The 25,795-nt window shown below is 35.9% G+C and overlaps 1 protein-coding gene and 1 pseudogene across 5 annotated transcripts in view, besides 1 other annotated feature; both read left to right on the forward strand.

The window, feature by feature from the left end:
• HTR1F (5-hydroxytryptamine receptor 1F) overlaps window positions 1–25,795 on the forward strand; it is a 201,134-nt gene that overhangs the window by 107,283 nt on the left and 68,056 nt on the right. The window lies entirely within an intron of this gene.
• RNU6ATAC6P (RNA, U6atac small nuclear 6, pseudogene) lies at window positions 10,232–10,356 on the forward strand (annotated as a pseudogene).
• Window positions 14,084–15,283: an enhancer, noted in NCBI's record as "MED14-independent group 3 enhancer chr3:87963222-87964421 (GRCh37/hg19 assembly coordinates)". NCBI's record gives its function as "activates an origin of replication core promoter dependent on BRD2, BRD4, P300/CBP and CDK7 cofactors, and independent of MED14, by STARR-seq in HCT116 cells {active_cell/tissue: HCT116}" and the evidence as "EXISTENCE:reporter gene assay evidence [ECO:0000049][PMID:35650434]".

The following is a 25,795-nucleotide window of genomic DNA, read 5'->3' on the forward strand; positions in this document are numbered from 1 at the left end:
ACCAAAATAATTAAGTTCATTTTATAGTATTTTCAATGGGATAAGTAGTATTAATATAAAGAAAAGGAAGTAAGGAGGCATGTGTGCAGAAAGGCAGATATAAACCAAAATAATTAAGTTCATTTTATAGTATTTTCAATGGGATAAGTAGTATTAATATAAAGAAAAGGAAGTAAGGAGGCAAGGGAGTAGAATAATGTTATAATTTTAAACAACACAGTCAGATAAAGTCTCGTGGATGGGATGCCATTTAAACAAAGACCTGAAGGGGGCAATAGAAAGATATATTGGGATATATTGGAATGAACTTTTAAGGCAGCAGAATCAAAAAGTGCACTCTGTCTCTGTTCAGAGAATAGCAAGGAGGCCCATGTAGCTGGAGCTGAGTGGATGAAGGAAAGAGTTGTCAGAAATTAACTCAGACAAGTTTGGGGAAATCAGGTACTGGAGAAACCTTTAATTTAAATAAGATGGTAAGTAATTGGAGGATCTGAAGCAATGGAGGGGCATGATCTGACTTACATTTCAGCAGGGTGACTGACTGCTCCATCACGAAGGTGGTAAGGGTAGAAGCAGGGGAAAAAATGAGCAGAATATAACATAAGCCTGGGTGCAAGAGATTAATGGGGAGTAGACTTGAGAGATTCTAGAGGTGGCAGTGAGAATTTGTTTCTGAATATATTTTAAAGTTAGAGCCAATAAAATTTGCTGATGTGTTAAATACATAAGGCAAAAGAGAAGTAGAGGAGTTAAGGAGAGTCCCCAAGGGTTTTATACTGAGCATCTGGAAGAGTTGCTACTAACCAAGACAGCAAGAGAAGCAGGTTTGGAAGAAGGAGCAGAAATTTGTTTTTGGACATGTTACATTTGAGATGCGTATTAGACATCCATGCAGAAATTTTAAGTAGATAGTTGTGTTTATATGTATAGGATCCCAGAATAGATAAGTTTGGAAGTCATGAGGATATATACATACATAGTAAGAAATGCCATGATAGTACACATAGAGGAGAACGACATCCAAGGACTGGGTCTAGGATAGACACTCCACCAGAAGGAAAGAGAAAAAGCACAGTATCAAGTTTGACTTCGCAACAGTGCAATTATTTTATAATAACACCATTGTTTTAGAGTACAATTATACTGGCTCAATTAAACATCTCAAAAAGATTCTGTTGCTGTAGTTTGTTTTCATACCCCATCATTTGTTGAAATTATGGCAAGAAACCTATTCCAACATCCAGGGCCTCAGGATGTGACTGTATTTGAGATAAGGGCTTTAAAGAGGTAACTAAGATAAATTGAACTCATGAGATTGGGCCTCAAACCAGTAGGAATGGCACCCTTATCAGAAGAGATTAGGACACCAACACAGAGAAGAAAGACCACATGAAGAGATGAGAAAAAAACAGCCATCTGCAAGCCAAGGAGAGAGCTCTTAGAAGAAATAACCATGCTGACACCTTGATCTGGGACTTCGAGCCTCCAGGAGTGAGAAAAATACATTTCTGTTGTACAAGCCACCCAATAAGTAGTAGTGGCCTGAGATTTTCTAGACTTCTTAAGGGGCTTACTTCCGGCTTCAAATTTCTATTATTATTACTACTATTTGTAATATTAAGACAAATGTAGAGAATGAAATTAAGCCAACTGCTTAAGCGATTATGTGTTAGATATAATTGTTCCTTAATATTAACAATTTACATATACACTCACCAAAAATGAAAAAAAAATGGTCTCTACTTAGTATTCTGTGATAATAACTATTTATGTAGGAGGATATCTAGTTTCCTCTATCATCTGTTTCCAGTCAGGAATGGCTTTTCTAGTGACATATTTTATTTAGGCTCTGGTTCACTAGCTTCAAAAATATCCAATGCTTAGGATTAAATCTAACAAAAGATCAGCACGACCTCTACAAAATAATTGCCAAACATTTCTGAGCTAAAGATCTGAATAAATGCAGTAATAAACCATAGTTAGAAAGCCTCAATATTATAAATATATTAATTTTTATAAACCATAGTTAGCCTCAATATTATAAATATATGAATTTTTCACAAATTGATCAAAATTATTTCAGTTGAATTTAGGTGGAAATTGGATTCTAAAATTTATATATAACATACTCTTCAGTACCTAAAACAATAAAAACCAGACATCTTAAATGATCACATATCAAATATATAACACTGTAGTAGTTAAGATTAGTGGTGGTGTAAGGACAGGAAAGTAGCACAATAGAATAAAACAGAGACCCTAAAAAGATACTCACGCAGAAATAATCACCTGATTTATAATCAATATGCCACCACTATGCAAAGGGGGAAGTTATTCTTTTCATGAATTGCTCCAGAAAAATTTAATTTCATTGGGGAGGAATATGAATCTTGATTCCTACCCCACAGCATGGGGAAAAAAAGTCAATTCCAAGTAGATCGTAATCCTAAATGTGAGAAGATAGGAATAAAGCATCTAGAAGGTAACGTACTTCATGACCTTGGGGTAGGCCAAAGTTTTTTAAACAGGACCAAAAGAGGGAAAAAAAGATAAAGATGGACTTGAATACAGCTAAGAATTTCTTTTTTTTGTTTGTTTGTTTCTTTTTTTTATTTTATCATTATTATACTTTAAGTTTTAGGGTACATGTGCACAATGTGCAGGTTAGTTACATATGTATACATGTGCCATGCTGGTGTGCTGCACCCATTAACTCGTCATTTAGCATTAGGTATATCTCCTAAAGCTATCCCTCCCCCCTCCCCCCACCCCACAACAGTCCCCAGAGTGTGATGCTCCCCTTCCTGTGTCCATGTGTTCTCATTGTTCAATTCCCACCTATGAGTGAGAATATGCGGTGTTTGGTTTTTTGTTCTTGCAACAGTTTACTGAGAATGACGATTTCCAATTTCATCCATGTACTGGTACCAAAACAGAGATATAGATCAATGGAACAGAACAGAGCCCTCAGAAATAATGCCGCATATCTACAACTATCTGATCTTTGACAAACCTGAGAAAAACAAGGAATGGGGAAAGGATTCCCTATTTAATAAATGGTGCTGGGAAAACTGGCTAGCCATATGTAGAAAGCTGAAACTGGATCCCTTCCTTACACCTTATACAAAAACTAACTCAAGATGGATTCAAGACTTAAATGTTAGACCTAAAACCATAAAAACCCTAGAAGAAAACCTAGGCATTACCATTCAGGACATAGGCATGGGCAAGGACTTCATGTCTAAAACACCAAAAGCAATGGCAACAAAAGCCAAAATTGACAAATGGGATCTAATTAAACTAAAGAGCTTCTGCACAGCAAAAGAAACTACCATCAGAGTGAACAGGCAACCTACAGAATGGGAGAAAATTTTCGCAACCTACTCATCTGACAAAGGGCTAATATCCAGAATCTACAATGAACTCAAACAAAGTTACAGAAAAAAACAAACAACCCCATCAAAAAGTGGGCAAAGGACATGAACAGACACTTCTCAAAAGAAGACATTTATGCAGCCAAAAAACACATGAAAAAATGCTCACCATCACTGGCCATCAGAGAAATGCAAATCAAAACCACAATGAGATACCATCTCACACCAGTTAGAATGGCAATCATTAAAAAGTCAGGAAACAACAGGTGCTGGAGAGGATGTGGAGAAATAGGAACACTTTTACACTGTTGGTGGGACTGTAAACTAGTTCAACCCTTGTGGAAGTCAGTGTGGTGATTCCTCAGGGATCTAGAACTAGAAATACCATTTGACCGAGCCATCCCATTACTGGGTATATACCCAAAGGAATATAAATCATGCTGCTATAAAGATGCATGCACACATATGTTTATTGCGGCACTATTCACAATAGCAAAGACTTGGAACCAACCCAAATGTCCAGCAATGATACACAGCTAAGAATTTCTAATAACCAAACGATTATTTAAGAATGTTAAAGTAAAGCCATAGTTACAAGATGGTTGCAATACATCTAGCTGATGAAACGCTTGTATCCAGAATATATCAAAAAGCTCTAAAACTAAAAAGAATATCCAGTTAAACACAAAATGAAGAAAAGACTTGAACCAATAATTCACAAAAAAGGATAGGCAGTAGCTAATAAGCATAAAAAAACGTTTACAACATCATTAATCCTCAGAAAAAGACAAGTTAAAACCACAATGAGATATCACTGCACACCTAACAAAATAGCTAAAATTTAGGAGGCTGACAGTTCCAAGTGTTTGTGACAATGACAAGGAAGTGGAAATCTTACACTTTGCTGACGAGAGTGTAAAAAGGTTTAAATTCATTGGAAAACTGTTTAGCAGTATCTGCTAATTGGGACACTCAATACGCTTTGATTAAGCAATTTCATTGCTTTCTATTTACTTAATAGAAATGTGTACATATATATATTCTCCAAAAGAAAAATAGAAGAAGGCTCCTAACAGCATTATTTTTAATGAAGCAAAAACTGAAAACAACCGAAGTGGCCATCAGTAATAAAATGAATAAATAAACTGTGGTATAGTCATAGCATACAATACTACACAGCAAGAAGAAACACTATTATTTCATGCAACAATATGAAACTCACAACCCAGATGTTCTTCAGTAATAAAATGAATAAATAAACTGTGGTATGGTCATATCATACAATACTACACAAGAAGTAGAAGCACTAACTACTACTGCATGCAACAATATGAAACTCACTATCATAATGTTGAGCAAAAGAAGCCAAGCACAATAGAATGCATACACATTATACCACATTATTCCATTTTTCAAATACCAGTAAGCTAATCTAGATTGATGGAAGTTAGTATAGTGGTTACATTTTGTGGAGAGGTTGGAGTGATAATGTTTTGGAGGAGACATAGGGATACTTATTATTTTGACTGCTCATAGTGTCCTACAGCCTGATCTGAGGGGTGGTTTATAATATCTTTCCTTTATAAAAATTCACAAAAGCTGTGCAGTGATGAATTATGTATTCTTCAATATAGTTTTGTTCTTCAATGAAAGTATTTGTCCAGGACTGGTATGGTGGCTCACACCTATTACCCCAACTACTTGGGAGGCTGAGGTGGGAGGATAGCTTGACGCCAGGAGTTTGAAACTAGCCTGAGCAACATAGCAAAACCCTGTCTCTGAAAAAAAAAATTAAAAGTTAGTTGAGTTTGGTGGTATATGTCTGTAGTCCCAGCTACTCAGGAAGCTGAAGCAGGAGGATTTCTTGAGCCCAGGAGTTCAAGGCTGCAGTGAGCTATGATCACGCCAGTGCCACTCTAGCTTGGGCAACAGAGTGAGAACCCATCTCAAACAAACAAAAAAAAAGTTTGTGTAAAAAAAAAACACCAAGAAAAAGAAATTGGTGCCATTTACATTAACTGACTCATCCAAATTCTCTACTCAAAACCTGACTTTTTTCACTGACATTTTTGCTGCCCCTTAATTTTTAAAATGTATACATTTTCTTTTTCCTCATGAGTATATAGGTTGGTTAGGAGCAACAGAAACTTGGTGCAGCCTGCACAAAGACATAATTGCTATCATAACAAATTGCAGAACGTTGGGATGCTCCCTTTGACAATACTGACAGTCATTGAGACATACTTTTTGAAATGAATTTCTTCTAAAGAATGTTATTACAATTTGTCTATGTTTTGTGTGAATGTGAGAGCAATGTAAATTCCATTCAAGGAGGACTCAAAGGTGTAACCTTCTCTAAATACTTTATTTAGCAAAAAAAAAAAAAATGGAAACTATCATTCTAATCTTTCTTCAGAGAAATAGGCACAAAGATAGCATTTTTTAAAGCTTTGAAGTAGAATGTTTGAAGACTAAAATGTGGTGCCTATGAATGAGCATTTGGGTGATAAACTGCAAGGAAATATTATAGAGATACGATATTAAGTCAAGACAATGATTCCCATTGGAAGAAAAATGAAGGCAACTGGGATCAGGAAAAAAGGGGGACTTTAGGATGGCTGGCAAGGTTCAATTTCTTGACCTGGATGATTGTTACAAGAATGTTCACCTTATAAGGATTAATTGAACTATACATTATTGTGTTGTGCATTATTTTACAGTAAAAAGAGAAAAAATACAATAAAACGCTAAATTGTCACTTGGGAAAAAAAGTGTTCCAATATATAACTCAGGGTAAAAATACCAAAGGTTAAGGCTATAGAGTAACTTTTGAAAATTGGTCTTCTGAAACTAACTTTAATTGAAGTTTATTATGTATAAGGCCTTATGTGAAACTTGCCTGCCCTTCTTTATCTGTATTGATACCAAACTGTATGTGTTGTAAAAAGCAAGCACTTTCAAGAAAGTGGAAATAATATGACTGAACAAGTCATTATATGACTATTTTGATAAATATTTCTGTAATTCCTATAGAACAAAGAAAGAGAATAATTTTTATAATGTTTTCTCACATTCAATTTTGAAATAAAAATCTTTTCTTGTTGACAGTCTCCTGATAAATAATGCTGCCTACCAAACTAAACTGTAGTTAATGAAAATTTTTTTTTTAATTTTTTCTTTCTTTTTCTTTATTTCAATAGGCTTTTGGTAACAGGTGGTATTTGGTTACATGAATAAGTTCTTTCATGGTGATTTCTGAGATTTTGGTGCACCCATCAACCAAGCAGGGTACACTGTACCCAATGTGTAGTCTTTTATTCCTCGCCCCCCTCTCACTCATTCCCCCGGGTCCCCAAAGTTCATTGTATCATTCTTATGCCTTTGCATCCTCATAGCTTAGCCCCCACTTGTAAGTGAGAACATATGAAGTTTGGTTTTTCATTCCTGAGTTACTTAGAATAATGGTCCCCAGTTCCATCCAGGTTGCTGCAAATGCCATTATTTTGTTACTTCTTATGGCTGAGTAGTATTCCATGGTATATATACACCACATTTTCTTTAGCCACTCGTTGATTGATGGGCATTTGGGCTGCTTCCATATTTTGCAATTGCCACTTGTGCCACTATAAATATGCATGTGCAACTATCTTTTTTTATATAATGACTTCTTTTCCCCTGGGTAGATACCTAGGAGTGGGATTGCTGGGTCAAATGGCAGTTCTACTTTTGGCTCTTTAAGGAATCTCCATACTGTTTTTCATAGTGGTTGTACTAGTTTACATTCCCACCAACATGTAAAAGTGTTCCCTTTTTACCACATCTATGCCAACATTTATTTTTTTTTTTGATTATTGGTCATTCTTGCAAAAGTAAGGTGGTATTGCATTGTGGTTTTGATTTGTATTTCCCTGATAATTAGTGATGTTGAGTGTTTTTTCATGTTCATTGGCCATTTGTATATCTTCTTTTGAGAATTGTCTATTCATGTTCTTAGCCCACTTTTTGAAGGGATTTTTTTTTTTGCTGATTTTTTTTAGTTCCTTGTGGATTCTGGATATTAGTCCGTTGTTGGATGTATATTTAAACACACCAAAAAATATGAAATTAACATAGCTATGTTTTCATAATTAAAAAATAAAAATGTCATTTTGTCTAAAACAAAATTGATTTGAAAAATCATGTTCAGGCATAGAAAATTCATGAGATGTTCTAAAGGTAAAAGCCACCATAGTCCCCATTTATCCTAGAAATATTCACACCATATCAACCACAAGACAGACTCTTTTTTAAAAGGTATATAGGAAAGTCGTTGCTCTCAAAAACCTACAGCTTAAAGGAATAAAGTAAATATTACTTAAATAGACTGGAGGCAATAGAGTAAAACAAAATCATAATACTAGAATTAAATATAGGTAAGTAATAACATGGTTTCTGAATGGAGAAGTACCTTCTCAAGATGAAAGCAATGGAATAGCAAAGAAAGAATAATTTTTGATAACATTTTTAACCAAAAGAAAGAGGCATCAGCAGACTGATTATATGTTGGAATACAAATTAGTATAAGTTTCTGTCTGGAAACAATTTGAAAGTATGTGTTGAATTTATTCTTTTAAATTTATGTTCTAATAAATTTGAACTAATATTTCCATTTCAAGTCATCTATCCTAAGGAAATAATCAGAATTTGGAAAAATACTTTTTCGAATCTTTCCATAAGTGTTATACCAACACATATAGAACATAAAAGTATAATTGGCAACCTATCTATTGAGAAGTTTCCCATCAGAGATTTTATTCAAGTTGATATTTGAAATGTTGCCTTATATTACTATTAATCTATCATAAGAGATTCTGATACAGTGATACTTTATGTAGAACAGTTCAATAAATACCATGTAAGAAAACAAAAAGAAGTAGATTGATATCACTTAAATTAAAAACCAGTGAATTTTCTATTTTGTGGAAAATAACCATATTGCTAAGTTATTATTATGAAATGTGTGTGCAGCTAGCTAGAGTCAGCTGGTAGGAAAGTCTTCTCGGTACCTTATTCCCAGAGATTCTGATGTGTTTTCTTAAATATATTCTGTTAAATGTTTCCCAACTGGGATAAATGTCACTGTGGTATTTTTAATCATAGTAATATAATTAGTTTCCAAGAACTATCTGGTAACGTAAATGTATTTGGAGATTATAATGTAGTTTCTGTATTTTGAATAAAATTCTACTTAGAGAAAGAATTTTATAAATATTTAGAGTCATGTCCATTTCCTCTTTTTAAATCTGGCACCCTACATTCTAATTTCAATAGGTTTCATCAGAACCGCACTTAGCAGATGCTTAATCATTGTCTACAGAATGAATGGATGAATAAACTTGTGTGGGTATTTGTGAATCTTTAAGACTTAGTGCTCATCTGTTTCTTAAAGAAACTTGCTATTTCTCAGTGAAAGTGTCTTTCACCTGCTGAAGAGAGATTAGGCTTGTAGAAATTCTCATCTGGCAATGGTTTATTTTGTTCTTTTTAGAGGAAAACCTTTCTTAATAAAATAATTTAACAAAAGATAAAAACATATTTGTGCATTGAAAGTGTTTGCACAGGTTATTTTATGTTTTAGTAGAGTAGTAGATATAATTAATGTTCTTAAATATCCAGTTCTTTCCCACTTCTGTGTATGAGGAAGCCTATACTGCTTCATTTCTTGGAGTTAGTCATGGTCATGTAACTAATTCTAGCAAATGAGATGTGAGGGAATATGAGAGTCACCAGTGGTAAATACTAGTGCCCAACTCTCTAGCCCATTCTTCCCCTGCTGTGCAAAGGAGATAGCATATGGTGTGGAGTGGCTATATGGAAAAGAATCCCCGGTCAAATCATGTTGAACATGTACAGTGAGCAAGAAATAAGTTGTGTTGCTTTAAGCTACTGAAATTTTGGTGGTTTGTCACCACAGTAAAACCTAGCCAATGTGCTTCAGTATACCTCTGGTCAGTATCTAATTACAAAATCTTTCTTCATGACCACATACACTTCCATTAATGGTGAAAAAAGTCAACTCGTTACGTGCTCACGATATGCTTCCTCTGCTTAATATAAAAGCAGAACAACTCACTGATATGCATTGAGAAGACAGTGCATCAAATCAGTTTCCCATTCTCTTTCCCTTTAGAAGCCTACTAGTAACAAACACTTGGTAGAAATTCAAGGGGCTTCGAGATACAAAATCAATTTTACCAGAAAGAATAAGTTCAGCTGCATAAAACAGAAATAAAAAATAAGATTTTCTAAACCATCATAGAAGTTTATTTTTTCATTTATGTAAAGAAGCTAAGCTTGAAACCTAGGTCTAAACAGACAGCCCCAGAGTCTTTAGAAATCCAGGCTTCTACATTTCTGCTATATTCCTCCATTCACGACTTTATTTTCAAGGTCTCTCAGTTGGTCTAAGAACTGCTGATGCTCCAGCCATTACACTGGCATGCAGGTCTTTAGCGGGAGAAAGAGGAAAATGACAAAAGAGTGTACTATCCAGTTTTCTTTAAGCATACTCCATGGTCTTTTATTCTTCTTATTTGATTAATACATATTAACCGATTAACAGATTAATCTATTCTTAATACAGACTAACTACAATCTGTACCATACTTCCTGCCAAAATTCTATCCTATGTTGTCTATAATAATTTTCTATATTAAATATTCTTTTAACTGTTTAAATATCTAATCTTATCCCTTCTTATTCTTCATATACATATTGATATTACTCTCCTAAGTATACCTTCTCTCTTTTCTTGATAAATTTAAGGAAGCTTTTTATCCCAAATTCTTTGGCACCAATTGCAACTTGAAACTTTTCCTGTGTTGTATGAAAGGAGAAAAGGTTACCATACTCCTTGACAAGGATGGAAGAGGCCCTCGGGCATGACAAGACACATATGGTTAAGACATTGCCACCTATTTTGTGGCATCTAACCATCATTTTTTTCAGACTTGAAACCAACAAAGATCAAAAAAGACAATTACATAACAGTAAAGGGTTCAATTCAACAAGGAAACCTAACTATCGTAAATATGTATGCACCCAACACAGAAGCACCCAGATTCCTAAAGCAAGTTCTTAGAGATCTACAAAGAGACTTAGAGTCCCGCACAATAATACTGGGAGAATTCAACACTCCACTGACAGTATTAGACAGATCACTGAGGCAGAAAATTAACAGAGATATTTAGGATCTAAACTCAACATTGGACCAAATGGATCTTATAGACCTCTACAGAACTCTGCACCCAAAAACAACAGAATATAAATTCTTCCCATCACTATATGGCCCATACTCTAAAATTGAACACACAGTCAGACATAAAACAATCCTCAGCAAATTCAAAAGAACAGAAATCATGCTAAACATACTCTTGGACTCCAGTGCAATAAAAATTGAAATCAATACTTTAAAAATTGCTTAAAACCATCCAAATACATGGAAATTAAACAACCTGCTCCTGAATGACATTTGAGTAAATAATGAGATTAAGGCAGAAATCAAGAAGTTCTTTGAAACTAATGAGAACAAAGATATAACATACCACAATCTCTAGGACACAGCTAAGGCAATATTAAGATGGAAATTTATAGCACTAAATGCCTACATCAAAAAAGTGAGAATAATCTCAAATTAACAACCTAAGATCACGACTAAAAGAACTAGAGAAGCAAAAGCAAACCAAAAAGCTAGCGGAAGACAGGAAAAAAACAAAATCAGAGCTTAATCGAAAGAGATCAAGACACAAAAAAACACTCGAAAGATCCACAAATCTAGGAGTTTGTTTTCTGCAAAAAATAACAAGATAGTCGACTAGCTAGACTAATAAAGAAGAAAAAAGAGAAGATCCAAATAAACACTGTTAGAAATGGCAAAGGGGATGTTACCGCTGACCACACAGAAATACAAACAACCATCAGAGACTATTATGAACACCTCTGTGCATACAATCTAGAAAACCTAGAAAAGATGGATAAATTTGTGGACACATATACCCTCCCAAGACAGAACCAAAAAGAAATTGATTCCCTGAATAGACAATTAACAGGCTCCAAAACTGAATCAGTAATAAATAGCCTATCAGGACTGGACAGATTCACAGCAGAACTGCACCAGCTGTACAAAGAGCTGGTTAACATTTCTACTGAAACTATTTCAGAAAATTGAGAAGGGATATGAGGCCAGCATTATCCTAATACCAAAATGTGGCAGAGACACAACAAAAAAGGCATTATCCTTGATGAATATTGATGCAAAAATCCTCAATAAAATACTTGCAAATTGCATCCAACAGCACATTGAAAAGCTAATCCACCACTCTCAAGTAGGTTTTATCCCAGGAATGCAAGATTTGTTCAACATACACAAATCAATAAATGTGATTAACCACATAAACAGAATTAAAGATGAAAACTATGATTGTCTCTCAGTAGATGCAGAGAAGGCTTTCAATAAAATTCAACTTCCTTTCATGTTCAAAAACCCTCAATAAACTGGGTATCGAAGAAATATACCTCAAAATAATGAGAGCCATCTATAACAAACTGACAGCCAACATCATACCGAATGGGCAAAAGCTGGAAGCATTCCCCTTGAAAATCAGCATGACAAGAATGTCCTCTATCACCACTCCTATTCAACATAGTATTGTAAGTCCTGGCCAGAGCAATCAGACAAGAGAAAGAATAAAAGGCATCCAAATAGGAAGAAAGGAAGTCAAACTATCCCTGTTTGCCAATGACATGATTCTATATCTAGAAAACCCCATAGTCTAAGCACAAAAGCTCCTTAAGATAACAAAAAAAAAAACTTTAGCAAAATTTCATGATACAAAATTAATGTGCAGAAATCACTAGTATTGTTATAAACCAACGACAGCCAAGACGAAAGTCAAATCAGGAAGGCAGTCTCATTCACAATTGCTAAAAAAAGGATAAAATACCCAGGAATACAGCTAACCATGGAGGTGAAAGATTTCTACAAGTAGAACTACAAAGCACTGCTCAAAGAAATCAGAGATGATACAAACAAATGGAAAAACATTCCATGCTCATGGATAGAAAGAACCAATGTCATTAAACTGGCCATACTGATCAAAGCAATTTACAGATTCAATGCTATTCCTGTCAAACCACCTATGACATTCTTCACAGAACTAGAAGAATAAACTATTAAAAGTTCGTATAAAGTTTAAAAAAAAAAAAAGTCTGAATAGCCCAGGCAATCCTAGGCAAAAAAAAAAAAAAAAAAACAAAGCAGGAAGCATCATGCCACTAAACTTCAAGCTACACTACAGGGCTACAGTAACAAAACAGCATGGTACTAGTACAAACACAGACACATAGACCAATGGAACAGAGTGGAGAGCCGAGAAATAAGGCTCCACACCTACAATCATCTGATCTTTGACAAAGCTGACAAAAATGAGCAATGAGGAAAGGACTCCCTATTCAATAAATTGTGCTGGAATAACTGGCTAGTCATATGCAGAAAATTGAAATTGGACCCCTTCCTTATGCCACATACAAAAATCAACTCAAGATGGATTGAAGACTTAAATGTAAAACCCAAAACTATAAAAGTCCTGGAAGACGACCTAGGCAATATGATTCAGGACAGAGCAATAGGCAAATATTTTATGATGAAGACCTCAAAACAACTGCAACAAAAGCAAAAATTAACAAATCGGACCTAATTAAATTTAAGAGCTTCTGCACAACAAAAGAAACTATCAACAGAGTGAACAGAGAGTCTACAGAATGGATGAAAATTTTTGCACACCATGCATCTGACAAAGGTCTAATATTAAGCACCTATAAGGAACCTAAAAAACATTAAAAGACAGAAAATAGCCCCATTAAAAAGAGGACAAAGGGCATGAACAGACACCTTTCAAAAGAAGACAGACATGTTGCCAACAGTGATACCAAAAAAAGCTCAACATCACTGGTCATTACAGAAATGCAAATCAAAAGCACCATGAGAGACCCAGTAACACCAGTCAGAATGGCTATTAATAAAAAGTGAAAAAATAACAGATGCTAGTGAGTTTGCAGAGAAAAAGGAGCACTTATACACTGGGAGTGTAAATTAGTTCAACCATTGTGAAAGACCATGTGGCAATTCCTCAAAGACCTAAAAATAGAAATACCATTTGACCCAGCAATCCCATTACTGGATATATACCCAAAGAAATATAAATTGTTCTGTTATAAAGACACATGTATCCATACGTTGATTGCACCACTATTCACAATAACAAAAAAAATGGAATCAACCTAAGCACCCATCAATGGCAGATTGGGTAAAATAAATGTGGTACAATAAATACACCATGGAATACTATGCAACCATACAAAAGAATGAGATCATGTCCTTTGCAGCAACATGGGTAGAGCTGGAGACCATTATTAGGAAACTAACACAGGAACAGAAAACCAAATATCACAGGGATCATGGCAGACAAGAGGCAGGACTAGATTGCAGCTCTGACTTGGACAGACAGAGCAGCATGTGGAGGCTCGCATCATGAATTTTTGCTCCACAACAACTGAAGGAATAAATCAGGAAACCTGAGAGGATCCACAGACCCCCTGAAGGAAGCGGATTGCTCCTGCAGGACCCGGCAGACACCCCAAATACTGTGATGCCCAAACTGTGGAAGTGGGAAAGGGAGATGGTCCAGGAAGCTGAAGGCCTACATTACAAGGGAAGATTTTGACCTTACCTGGAGCTGAGTCAATTTAGAGAGCCCAGCATAATACAGGGGTAGAGGTGGCAGCAGGAAACCCCTGGAAGCTCACTGGGTCCCCTACCAAGCCGTTTTTGCCTGATCTCAGAGAAGACCTTCAGGAGGGAGGCCAGAGGCACTGGGAAAAGGCCACAGGGAGAAGGAAATCTCCAGCTGAATTTTGTAACAATTTGAACTGATCGAGAAGCCTCCTGGCCAGAACTCGGCAGAGGGCATGAATCCGATATTGCAGATTCCATGGGCAGGGGAAGAATCAAATCCCTTTTCTTTCACAGCTGAGGTGGGTATCCTGGGGCAAGTTCTCAAACCCTGCTCACACACGGCCCAGAAACACACAGTGCTGTTAGAGGGGGCACGCTGCAGGTCAGACCAGCCTTTCTGATTGTTTAGGAGACAGGTGAGGCCTGTAACTGCCAGCTTTCCCCCCACTTCCCTGACAACCTGCATGACTCAGCAGAGGCAGCCATAATCCTCCTAGGTACACAATTCCATTGACCCGGGAACCTCACCCCCATCCTCCACAGCAGCCCCAGCTAGACCATCCAAGTAGAGTCTAAGTTTAAACATGCCTAGCCCTGCCCCCACCTGATGCGCCTTCCCTACCCACCCTGGTAGCTGAAGACAAGGGGAATATACTCTTGGGAGTTCTAGGGCCCCACCCACCACTATTTCCTCCCCATACTACCACAGCTGATGCTCTCTGGAAAGCACCACCCCCTGGCAGGAGGCCAGCCAGCACAAAAATAGAACATTAAACCACGTAAGCTAAGAACCCTCACAGAGTCTATTTCACCCCCCTACCACCTCCACTAAAACAGGTGCTGGTATCCATGGCTGAGAGACCCAAGGATGGTTCACATCACAGGACTCTGCTGTGCAGACGACCAACCCCCAGTACCAGCCCAGAGGCAGGTAAATTTGGTGGGTGGTTAGATCCAGAAGAGAGACAACAATCACTGCAGCTCGTCTGTCAGGAAGCCACGTCCATAGGAAAAGGGACAGAGTACTACATCAAGGGAACATACTGTGGGACAAAAGAATCTAAATAACAGCCTTCAGGCCTAGACCTCCCCTCTGACAGAGCCTACCCAAATGAGAAGGAACCAGAAAACCAACTCTGGTAATATGACAAAACAAGGTTCTATAACACCCCCCAAAAAATCACACTAGCTCACCAGCAGTGAATCCAAACCAGGAAGAAACCCCTGAATTACCTGAAAAAGAATTCAGGAGGTTAGTTATTAAGCTAATCAGGGAAGCACCAGAGAAAGGCGAAGCCCAATGCAAGGAAACCCAAAAAAACGATACAAGAAGTGAAGGGAGAAATATTCAAAGAAATAGACAGCATAAAGAAAAAAACAATAAAAGCTTCAGGAAACATTGGACACACTTACAGAAATGCAAAATGCTCTGGAAAATCGGAAGACCAATAGAATTGAACAAGTAAAAGAAATTCAGAGCTTAAAGACAAGGCCTTTGAATTAAACCAATCCAACAAAGACAAAGAAAAAAGAATGAGAAAATATGAACAAAGCCTCCAAGAAGTCTGGGATTATGTTAAACAATCAAACCTAAGAATAATTGGTGTTCCTGAGGAAGAAGAGAAATCTAAAAGTTTGGAAAACATATTTGGGGAACTAATCAAGGAAAACTTCCCCAGCCATGCTAGAGACCTAGAAATCCAAATACAAGAAGCACACAGAACACCTGGAAAACTCATCGCAAAAATATTATCACCTAGCCACACTGTCATCAGGTTATCTAAAGTTAAGATAAAGGAAAGCATCTTAAGAGCTGTGAGACAAAAGCATCAGGTAACCTATAAAGGAAAACCTATCAGATTAACAGCAGATTTCTCAGCAGAATCCTTATAAGCTAGAAGGAATTGGGGCCCTATCTTCAGCCTCCTCAAACAAAACAATTATCAGGCAAGAAATTTGTATCCAGCTAAACTAAGCATCATACATGAAGAAAAGATACAGTCTTTTTCAGACAAATGACAAGAGAATTCGCCATTACCAAGCCACCACTACAAGAACTGCTAAAGGGGGCTCTAAATCTTGAAATAAATCCTGGAAACACATCAAAAAAGGACCTCTTTAAAGCATAAATCACACAGGACCTATAAAACAAAAATACAGTTAAAAAGCAAAAAAGAAAAAAAAAAAAAAAAAAACAAGGTACACAGGCAACAAATAGCATGAAGAATGGAATGGTACCTCAATCTCAATACTAACATTGAATGTAAATGGCCTAAAGACTCCTCTTAAAAGATACAGAACTTCAGAATGGATAAGAACTCATCAACCAACTGTCTGCTACCTTCGGGAGACTCACCTAACACATAAAGACTCACATAATCTTAAAGTAAAGGGGTGGAAAAACACATTTCATGGACATGAAAAGCAAGCCAGGATAGCTATTCTTATATCAGACAAAACAAATTTTAAAACAACAATGGTTAAAAGAGACAAAGAGGGACAGTCTATGATGGTAAAAGGTCTTGTCCAACAGGAAAATATCACAATCCTAAACATATATGCACCTAACACTGGAGCTCCCAATTTTACAAAGCAATTACTAATAGACCTAAGCAATGAGATAGCAGCACAATAATACTTCAATACTCCACTGACAGCACTAGACAGGTCATCAAGACAGAAAGTCAACAAAGAAACAATGTATTTAAACTATACCCTGGAACAAAGGGACTTAACAGCTATATGCAGAGCATTCCATCCAACAACCATAAATACACATTCTATTCAACAGCACATGGAACTTTCTCCAAGATAGACCACATGATAGACCACAAAACAATTCTCAATAATTTTAAGAAAACTGAAATTATATCAAGCACTCTCTCAGACTACAGTGGAATAAAACTGAAAATAAACTCCAAAAGGAACCTCCAAAACCATGCAAATACATGGAAATTAAATAACCTACTCCTTAATGATCATTGAGTTAAAAATATATCAAAATTAAAATTAAAAAATTCTTCAAACCAAATGAAAGTAGTGAGAAAACCTATCAAAACCTCTGGGACACAGTCAAGGCAGTGCTAAAAGGAAAGTTCATAGCCCTAAATGCCTACATCAAAAAGTCTGAAAGAGCACAGACAATCTAAGGTCACACCTCAAGAAAATAGAGAAACAAGAACAAACCAAACCCATACCCAGCAGAAGAATGGAAATAACCAAGATCAGAGCAGAACTAAATGAAATTGAAGCAAAAAAAAAAAAAATACAAAAGTTAAATGAAACAAGAAGCTGGTTCTTTGGAAAGGTAACTAAAATTGATAGATTGTTAGCAAGACTAACCAAGAAAAGAAGAGAGAAAATCTAAATAAGGTCAATAAGAAATGAAACAGGAGATATTACAACTGACACCACAGAAATGCAAAAGATCATACAAGGCTACAATGAACAACTTTATGTGCATAAACTAGAAAACCAAGAATAGATGAATAAATTCTTGGAAAGATACAACCTTCTTAGCTTAAATCAGGAAGAATTAGATACCCTGAACAGATGAAAAACAAGCAGAGAGATTGAAATGGTAATTCAAGAATTAACAACAATAAAAAAAAAATGTCCAGGACCAGATGGATTCACAGCTAAATTCTACCAGACATTCAAAGATAAATTGGTACCAATCCTATTGACACTATTCCACAAGATAGAGAAAGATGGAACCCCTCCCTAAATCATTCTATGAAGCCAGTATCACCCTAATACCAAAACCAGTAAAGGACATAACCAAAAAAGAAAATTACAGACCAATATCCCTGATGAACGTAGATGCTAAAATCCTTGACAAAATACTGTCTAACGAATCCAACAACATATCAAAAAGATAATTCATCACGAACAAGAGGGTTTTATACAGGGATGAAAGGATGATTTAACATACACAAGTCAATAAATATGATATACCACATAAACAGCATTAAAAACAAAAATCACATGATTATCTCCATAAATGCAGAAAAAAGCATTTGACAAAAATCCAGCATCCCTTTATGATTAAAACTCTCAGCAAAATTGACATACAAGGGACATACGTCAATATAATAAAAGCCATCTATGACAAACCCACAGTCAACATATACTGAAAGAGGAAAAAATGAAAGCATTCCCTCTGAGAACTGGAAGAAGACAAGGATGTTTACTCTCACCACTCCTCTTCAACACAGTACTGGAAGTCCTAGCCAGAGCAATCAGACAAGAGAAAGGAATAAAGAAAGGGCATCCAAATTAGTAAAGAGGAAGTCAAACTGTTGCTGTTTGCTGATGATTTGATCATTTACCTAGAAAACCCTAAAGACTGCTCCAGAAAGCTCCTAGAACTGATAAAAGAATTTAGCAAAGTTTCCAGATACAAAATTAGTGTACACAAATCAATAGCTCTTCTATACACCAAGACTGACCAAGCTGAAAATCAATCAAGAACTCAACCCCTTTTACAATAGCTGCAAAAAACATAAAATACTTAGGAATGTACCTAACCAAGGAGTCTAAAAACCTCTAAAGGAAAACTACGAAACACTGCTGAAAGAAATTGTAGATTTCTTTCAAACAAATGAAAACACATCCCTTGCTCATGGATGAGTAGAATCAATATTGTGAAAATGACCATATTGATAAAAGCAATCTACAAATTCAATGCAGTCTCCATCAGAATACCACCATCATTCTTCACAGAATTAGAAAAAAACAATTCTAAAATTCATATGGAACCAACAAAGGGCCCGCATAGCCAAAGGAAGACTAAGCAAAAAGTACAAATCTGGAGGCATCACATTACCTGATTTTAAACTATATTGTAAGGCTGTAGTCACCAAAACAGCGTGGTACTGGTATAAAAATAGGCACATAGACCAATGGAACAGAACAGAGAACACAAATAAACTCAAATGCTTACAGCCAACTGATCTTTGACAAAGCAAACAAAAACATAAAGTGGAGAAAGGACACCCTTTTCAAAAAATGATGCTGGGATAACTGGCTAGCCACATGTAGGAGAATGCAACTGGATCCTCATCTCTCACCTTATATAAAAATCATTCAAGATGGATTAAGGACTTAAATCTAAGACTTGAAACTATAAAAATCCTAGAAGATAACACTGGAAAACCCCTTCTAGACAATGGCTTAGGCAAAGATTTTATGACCAAGAACCCAAAAGCAAATGCAATAACAACAAAGATAAAATCCTGGGACTTAATTAAACTAAAGAGCTTTTGCACGGCAAAAGGAATAGTCAGCAGAGTTAACAGACAACCCACAGAGTGGGAAAAAGTCTTCACAATCTATACATCTGACAGAGGGCTAACATCCAGAATCTACAACGAACTCAAACAAATCAGCAAGAAAAAAAAATTCCATCAAAAAATGGGCTAAGGACATGAATAAACAATTCTCAAAAGAAGATATACAAATGACCAACAAACATATGAAAAAATGTTCAACATCACTAATAATCAGGGAAATGCAAATCAAACCACGATATGATACCACCTTACTCCAGCAAGAATGGCCATAATAAAAAAATCAGCAAATAGTAGATGTTGGCGTGGATGCAGTGGACAGGGCACACTTCTACACTGCTGGTGGGAATATAAACTATTACAACCACTATGGAGTACAGTGTGGAGATTCCTTAAAGAACTAAAAGTAGAACCACCATTTGATCCAGCAATCCCACTACTGGGTATCTACCCATAGGAAAGGGAGTCATTACACGAAAAAAATACTCATACATGCATGTTTATAGCAGCACAATTTGCAATTGCAATAATGTGGAGCCAACCCAAATGCCCATCAATCAATGAGTGGATAAAGAAACTGTGTGGGAGAGATATATATGTAATATTATATATATATATATATATATGATAGAATACTACTCAGCCATAAAAAGGAATGAATTAACTGCATTTACAGTGACCTGAATGAGGTTGGAGACTATTATTCTAAGTGAAGTAACTCAGGAATGGAAAAGCAAACATCCTACATTCTCACTCATAAGTGGGAGCTAAGCTATGAGGATGCAAAGGCATAAGAATGACACGATGGACTTTGGGGACTCAGGGGAAAGGGTGGGAAGGGGGTGAGGGATAAAAGACTACGAATAGGGTAAAGTGTGTACTGCTCAGGTGATGGGTGCACCAAAATTTCACAAATCACCACTAAAGAACTTACTCATGTAACCAAACACCACCTGTTCCCCCAATAACCTATGGAAATAAAAAAACAAGCATATCTCTGAAGATAAGCTACTGCAAGACCCTGGAGAAAATTTAAGAAAAATATTCTGCATGCCTCCCAGGATATAGGACATGGCACCTATATTTTTTAAAAAAGAAATGATATGGAATAAATCATGACACGTAAAACAGTAAGGTAGCTTTTGAGGGGAGTAGTTATTGGAAAGGAACATAAAAGGTGTTTCTGAAAGATTTTAAAAAAAGAAAACCAAATATCATATGTTCTCACTTATAAATGGGAGCTAAATGATTGCACACATGGACACAACAAGAGTAAGAACACACAATGGGGCCTGCTTGAAGGTGGAGAGTGGGAGGAGGGAGAGGAACTGAAAAAAGAACTATTGAGTACTAGGCTTAGTATCTCAGCGACAAAATAATCTGTACAACAAACCCACATGATGTGAGTACCTATATAACAAACCCTGAACATCTGCCCCTGAACCTAAAATAAAAGTTTTTTTAAAAAATATACTTTTTCTAACTAAGATGATACTATGTCCTCTTGCTTCTCCTCTTTCTTTCTGACTATCCTTTCCTTAGGTTTTAATTTACTATCTTACTATCTCACATATCCCCCTAAAGCTCAATACTTGGTCTTTAATGTAATTCTACATATTATATACATGAGTCAGTGTTTCATTATAACTGGAGAAATTAGCTTATCTTTCATATTTGTCGAACATCTACAAATAAATGTCTATTGCTAGAGGTTGGGGGTGAATCATTAAAATTCAGATTAAACCATTTAACATATCAGAACATAATTCTGATTCTTGTGTTAACAGCCTATATCATAATTGAACATGACAGGGCATCTAGTGTTTAAATATATTGATTGGATTTACCTTACAGTCTTTCATGTGAGAAGTAGATTATAATTTATCATAAGAATTTAGTTTCTGTTTGATATTAGCCACAAAAGCAAAATATTAACTAATGGATTATTGTATAGTTTATGTGCAAGGCAAGTTCCAGAATGTCATGAACATTTTAACTTAAAATATAACATGCTTTTTTTATACACGATATAATTGTACATGTTTATGGAGTACAATGTGATAGGTATATCCATACACATATACAATGTGTAATGATCAAATCAAGGTAATTAACATACCCATAACCTCAAACCATTATCATTTCTTTTTGTTGTGAAGATTCAAAACCATCTCTTTAGCTATTTAAAACTATATAATAAGTAATTGTTAACTATCATCATTCTATAGTGATATAGAACACTAGAATCCTATCTAGCTGTATTTTTTTATTTGTTAACCAACATCTCCTTATCCACTCTCCTCGCTACCCTTCCCAGGCTATAGTAACAACTATTCGAATCTCTACTTCCATGAACAACTTGTTTACCATAGAAATATTAAGTGAAAACATGGCATTTGTCTTTCTCTGCCTTATTTTACTTAACAGAAAGCCTTCAAGGTTTATCCATGTTGCCAACAGTGATATAATCCACTTTTTAATGAATTTTATTTATCCATTCATCTTTTGATGGAAACTGAGGTTGATTCCATCTTTGCTGTTGTGAATAGTGTTGCAATTAACATGGGAGTGCAGATATCTGTTTGACATACTGATTTCCTTTCTTTGGATGCATACCCAGTAGTGGGATTGCTGGATCATATGGTAGTTCTACTTTTAGTTTCTTGAAGAAAGTTCATACTGTTTTCCATAATGGGCATACTAATTTACATTTCTACCTGCAATGTATAAGAGTTTCCCTTTCTCTCCATCCTACTTAGAATCTGTTATTTTTGTTTTTTGTATAATAGCCATTCTAACTAGGATGAAATGATATGTCATTTTGGTTTTCATTTGCATTTTCCTGATTAATGATGTTGAGCATTTTTTTCATATACTTCTTGGCCATTTATAGGTATTTTTTCAGAAATTTTATTTATATCAGTGCCCATTTTGAAATCAGATTTTTTTCTTTTGAGTTGTTTAGGTTTCTTCTATATGGTAAATATTAAGCCCCTGTCAGATGAATTGTCTGCAAATATTTTCTCCCATTCTGCAGATTTCCTCTTCACTCCGGTGATTGTTACCTTTGCTGTGCAGATGTTTTTTAGTTTGTGTAATCCCATTTCTCTGTTTTTGCTTTTGTTACCTGTACTTTTAAGATCTTATTTATAAAATTTATAAAGTTTTTGCCCAGGCCAATGTCCTGCAGCATTTACTTTATGTTTTCTTCTAGTCATGTCACAGTTTTGGGTCTTACATGTAAGTCTTCAATGCATTTTGAGTTAATTTTTATATATAGGGAGAGATGGGGTGTAGTTTCATTCTTCTTCATGTGAATATCCCGTTTTTCCAGCAACATTTATTAAGACTGTCCCTTCCCCAGTGCATGTTCTTGGAGTATTTATCTGTCCATTGGCTGTAAATCTGTGGATTTATTTCTGTGTTCTCTAGTCTGTTATATTGGTCTATGTTTTCTTCTAGTCATTTCACAGTTTTGGGTCTTACATGTAAGTCTTCAACCCATTTCGAGTTAATTTTTATATATAGGGAGAGATGGGGTCTAGTTTCATTCTTCTTCATGTGGATATCCCGTTTTTCCAGCAACATTTATTAAGACTGTCCCATCCCCAGTGCATGTTCTTGGAGTATTTATCAGTCTGTTGGCTGTAAATCTGTGGATTTATTTCTGTGTTCCCTATTCTGTTCCATTGGTCTATGTATCTTTTATTATGTTGGTGCTATGTTGTTTTGGTTACTATAGCTTTTTAGAATATTTTAAAGTCAGGTGGTATGATGCCTCCAGCTTTGTTCTTTTGCTCAGGATCCCATTAGCCATTTGAAGTCTTTTGTGGTTTCCATATGAATTTTAGAATATTTTTTTATTTCTGTGAATCATGTTATTGGTATTTTAAGAGGGATCACATTGAATCTGCAGGTCTCTTGGGGGACATGATCATTTTAACAATCCATAAACACAAGATGTTTTTCCATTTTGGGGTCTTCATCAATTTCTTTCATCAGTGTTTCATAGTTTTTATCAGAGATTTTTTTGGTCCTTGATTAAATTCATTGCTAGATATTTTTGTAGCTATTATAAATGAAATTGCTTTCTTGTTTTTTTTAACTAGCTTGTTAGTGGTTTCTAGAAATGTTACTGATTTTTGAATGTTGATCTTGTACCCTGCAATGTTACTGATTTTTTCTCAGTTATAAGAGTTTATTGATGGAATCATATATGATCTTCATTGTTTTGAAGTATGTTTCTTTCAATACCTACTTTGTTAAGAGTTTTTATAATAAAAAGATATTAAATTTTAGCAAATGTTTTTTCTGCATCTGTTGAGAAGATTTATTTTTCTCCTTCCTTCTATTTATGTGATATATCACATTTATTGATTTGCATGTGTTGAACCAATCTTGCATCTTTGGGATATATCCAATTTGATCATGGTGTATACCATTTTTGAAGTGCTGTTGGATTTGGCTTGCTAGTATTTTGTTGAGGATGTTTGCATCTCTGTTCATTGAGGATATTGGCCTTTAGTTTTCTTTTTATTTTATGTCCTTGTCTAGTTTTGGTATCAGGGTAATGCTGGCCTTGTAGAATCAGTTTGGAAGCATTCTCAACTGTTTGATTTTTTGAAATAGTTTGAGAAATATTGGTAGTAGTTCTCCTTTAAAATTTTGGTAGGATTCAGCAATAAAGCCATTTGGTCCTGGGCTTTTCTTTTTTGGAAGACTTTTTATTAATGATTCAATCTCATTACATGTTCTTGGTCTCTTCAGGTTTTCTGTTTCTTCCTGTTCAGTGATGGTAAAATTGTATGTGTCCAGGAACTTACTCATTTCAACTAGGTTTACCAATTTGTTGATGCACGGGGAATTTAATGTTTACTTGTAAGGTTCTTATTGATAGGTTAAGACTTGTATAATTTCATTAATTATTTTTAGTTTGTTTTGCATAGCTTTTTTTCTTATTGCTTATCTTTGCAGTTTTGTGACTTTCTGTAGTGACACGATTTGATTCTTTTCTTTCTCAGTTGTATGTCTGTTCTACCAGTGAATTTTATATTCTCATGTGTTTTCATGATGGTAGTTATTGTCCTTTTGCTTCCAGATCTAAGAGTTTCTTAAGTATTTCTTGTAAGGCTGGCCTAGTGGTGACAAATTCCCTGTTTTTTCTTGTCTGGAAAAGACTATTTCTCCTTAGTTTCTGAAGGATAGCATTGCTGGGTACACTATTCTTGGCTGTCAGTATTTTTCTTTCAGCACTTTGAACATATTATCCATTGTCTCCTGGTATGTATGGTTTCTGCTGAGAAATCTGCTGTCAGTCTAATGAGGGTTCCTTCATACGTGATTTGATGCTTTTCTGTTGCTATTTCTAGAATTCTCTCTTTTGTCTTTTACTTGACAATTTGACTACAGTGTGCCTCAGAGAGGACATTTTGGGGTTCAATCTATTGCAGAATTTATTAGCTTCTTGGATCTGGATGTTTTTAACTCTCTCAAGACTTAGGAAATTTTCAGCTATTATGTTATTAAATAGGTTTACTATACTTTCTTAAATTTTTTTTTTATTTGTACTCTCTTCTCCTTGGAACTCTTATAATGCGAATATGGTGATCCCTAAGTCCCAAAGGTTTTATTCATTCTTTTTTTTTTGTCTCTTCATGATTTCTTCAGCTGTAATCAACATCAGTGGTAACTGTAAATGCTTCAGTGATCTAGATTGTGGGTGTTTGTTGAGGCAGCAGTGTGGCTTTGCTAAGGAATAGGACTGCTGAGCAAGCCAGTTCTTTGGCTCTGGAAGACTCCCTGGTCAAGGGATTGGGGCGACCAATGGTGGCAGATGCTGGGCAGAACAGTCCTTGGACTCTAGGGGGCACATACAACAGCTTATCTGGTTGTGGAGGCTGTTGTGGGTGCTGGGTGGTCAGTTCTTGGGTTCTAGGGGATGTCTTCTCAGTTACTTGGGTCTTGGAAATGACCTCCCAGCTGTACTGGACCACTTCTTTTTGGGGATGCAGGGCACTGTGTGGCCTTAAGTGCTGTGGTCACATTTGTACCACTGATCTAGCTGGGGTCATGGTGTTCTGGCCTTTGGCATGGGCATAGTGAAATAAAAGGAGGGTCTTGGGAATGTGGAGATGCAGGGGATCCCAGGTTACAATGCCCCATAACAGTGTCTCTGTTCTCAAAATAAAGTCATGCCATAGTAGTTTGCATCTTGGAGAGTAAGCAGGACCCTGCATGGGTTTCTTCTTTGGAGTAATGCAGCCACTTGGACTCCAGGGATCTTCTTATATGGCTCAGGGCCTGCATGGAGTGTGATCTTTTTCTGTAGCTATGATTGCAGGTATTGGTAGTGGTAATGG

Source organism: Homo sapiens, chromosome 3 (genome assembly GCF_000001405.40).
Source record: "Homo sapiens chromosome 3, GRCh38.p14 Primary Assembly".
Taxonomy (NCBI): Eukaryota; Metazoa; Chordata; class Mammalia; order Primates; family Hominidae; genus Homo; species Homo sapiens.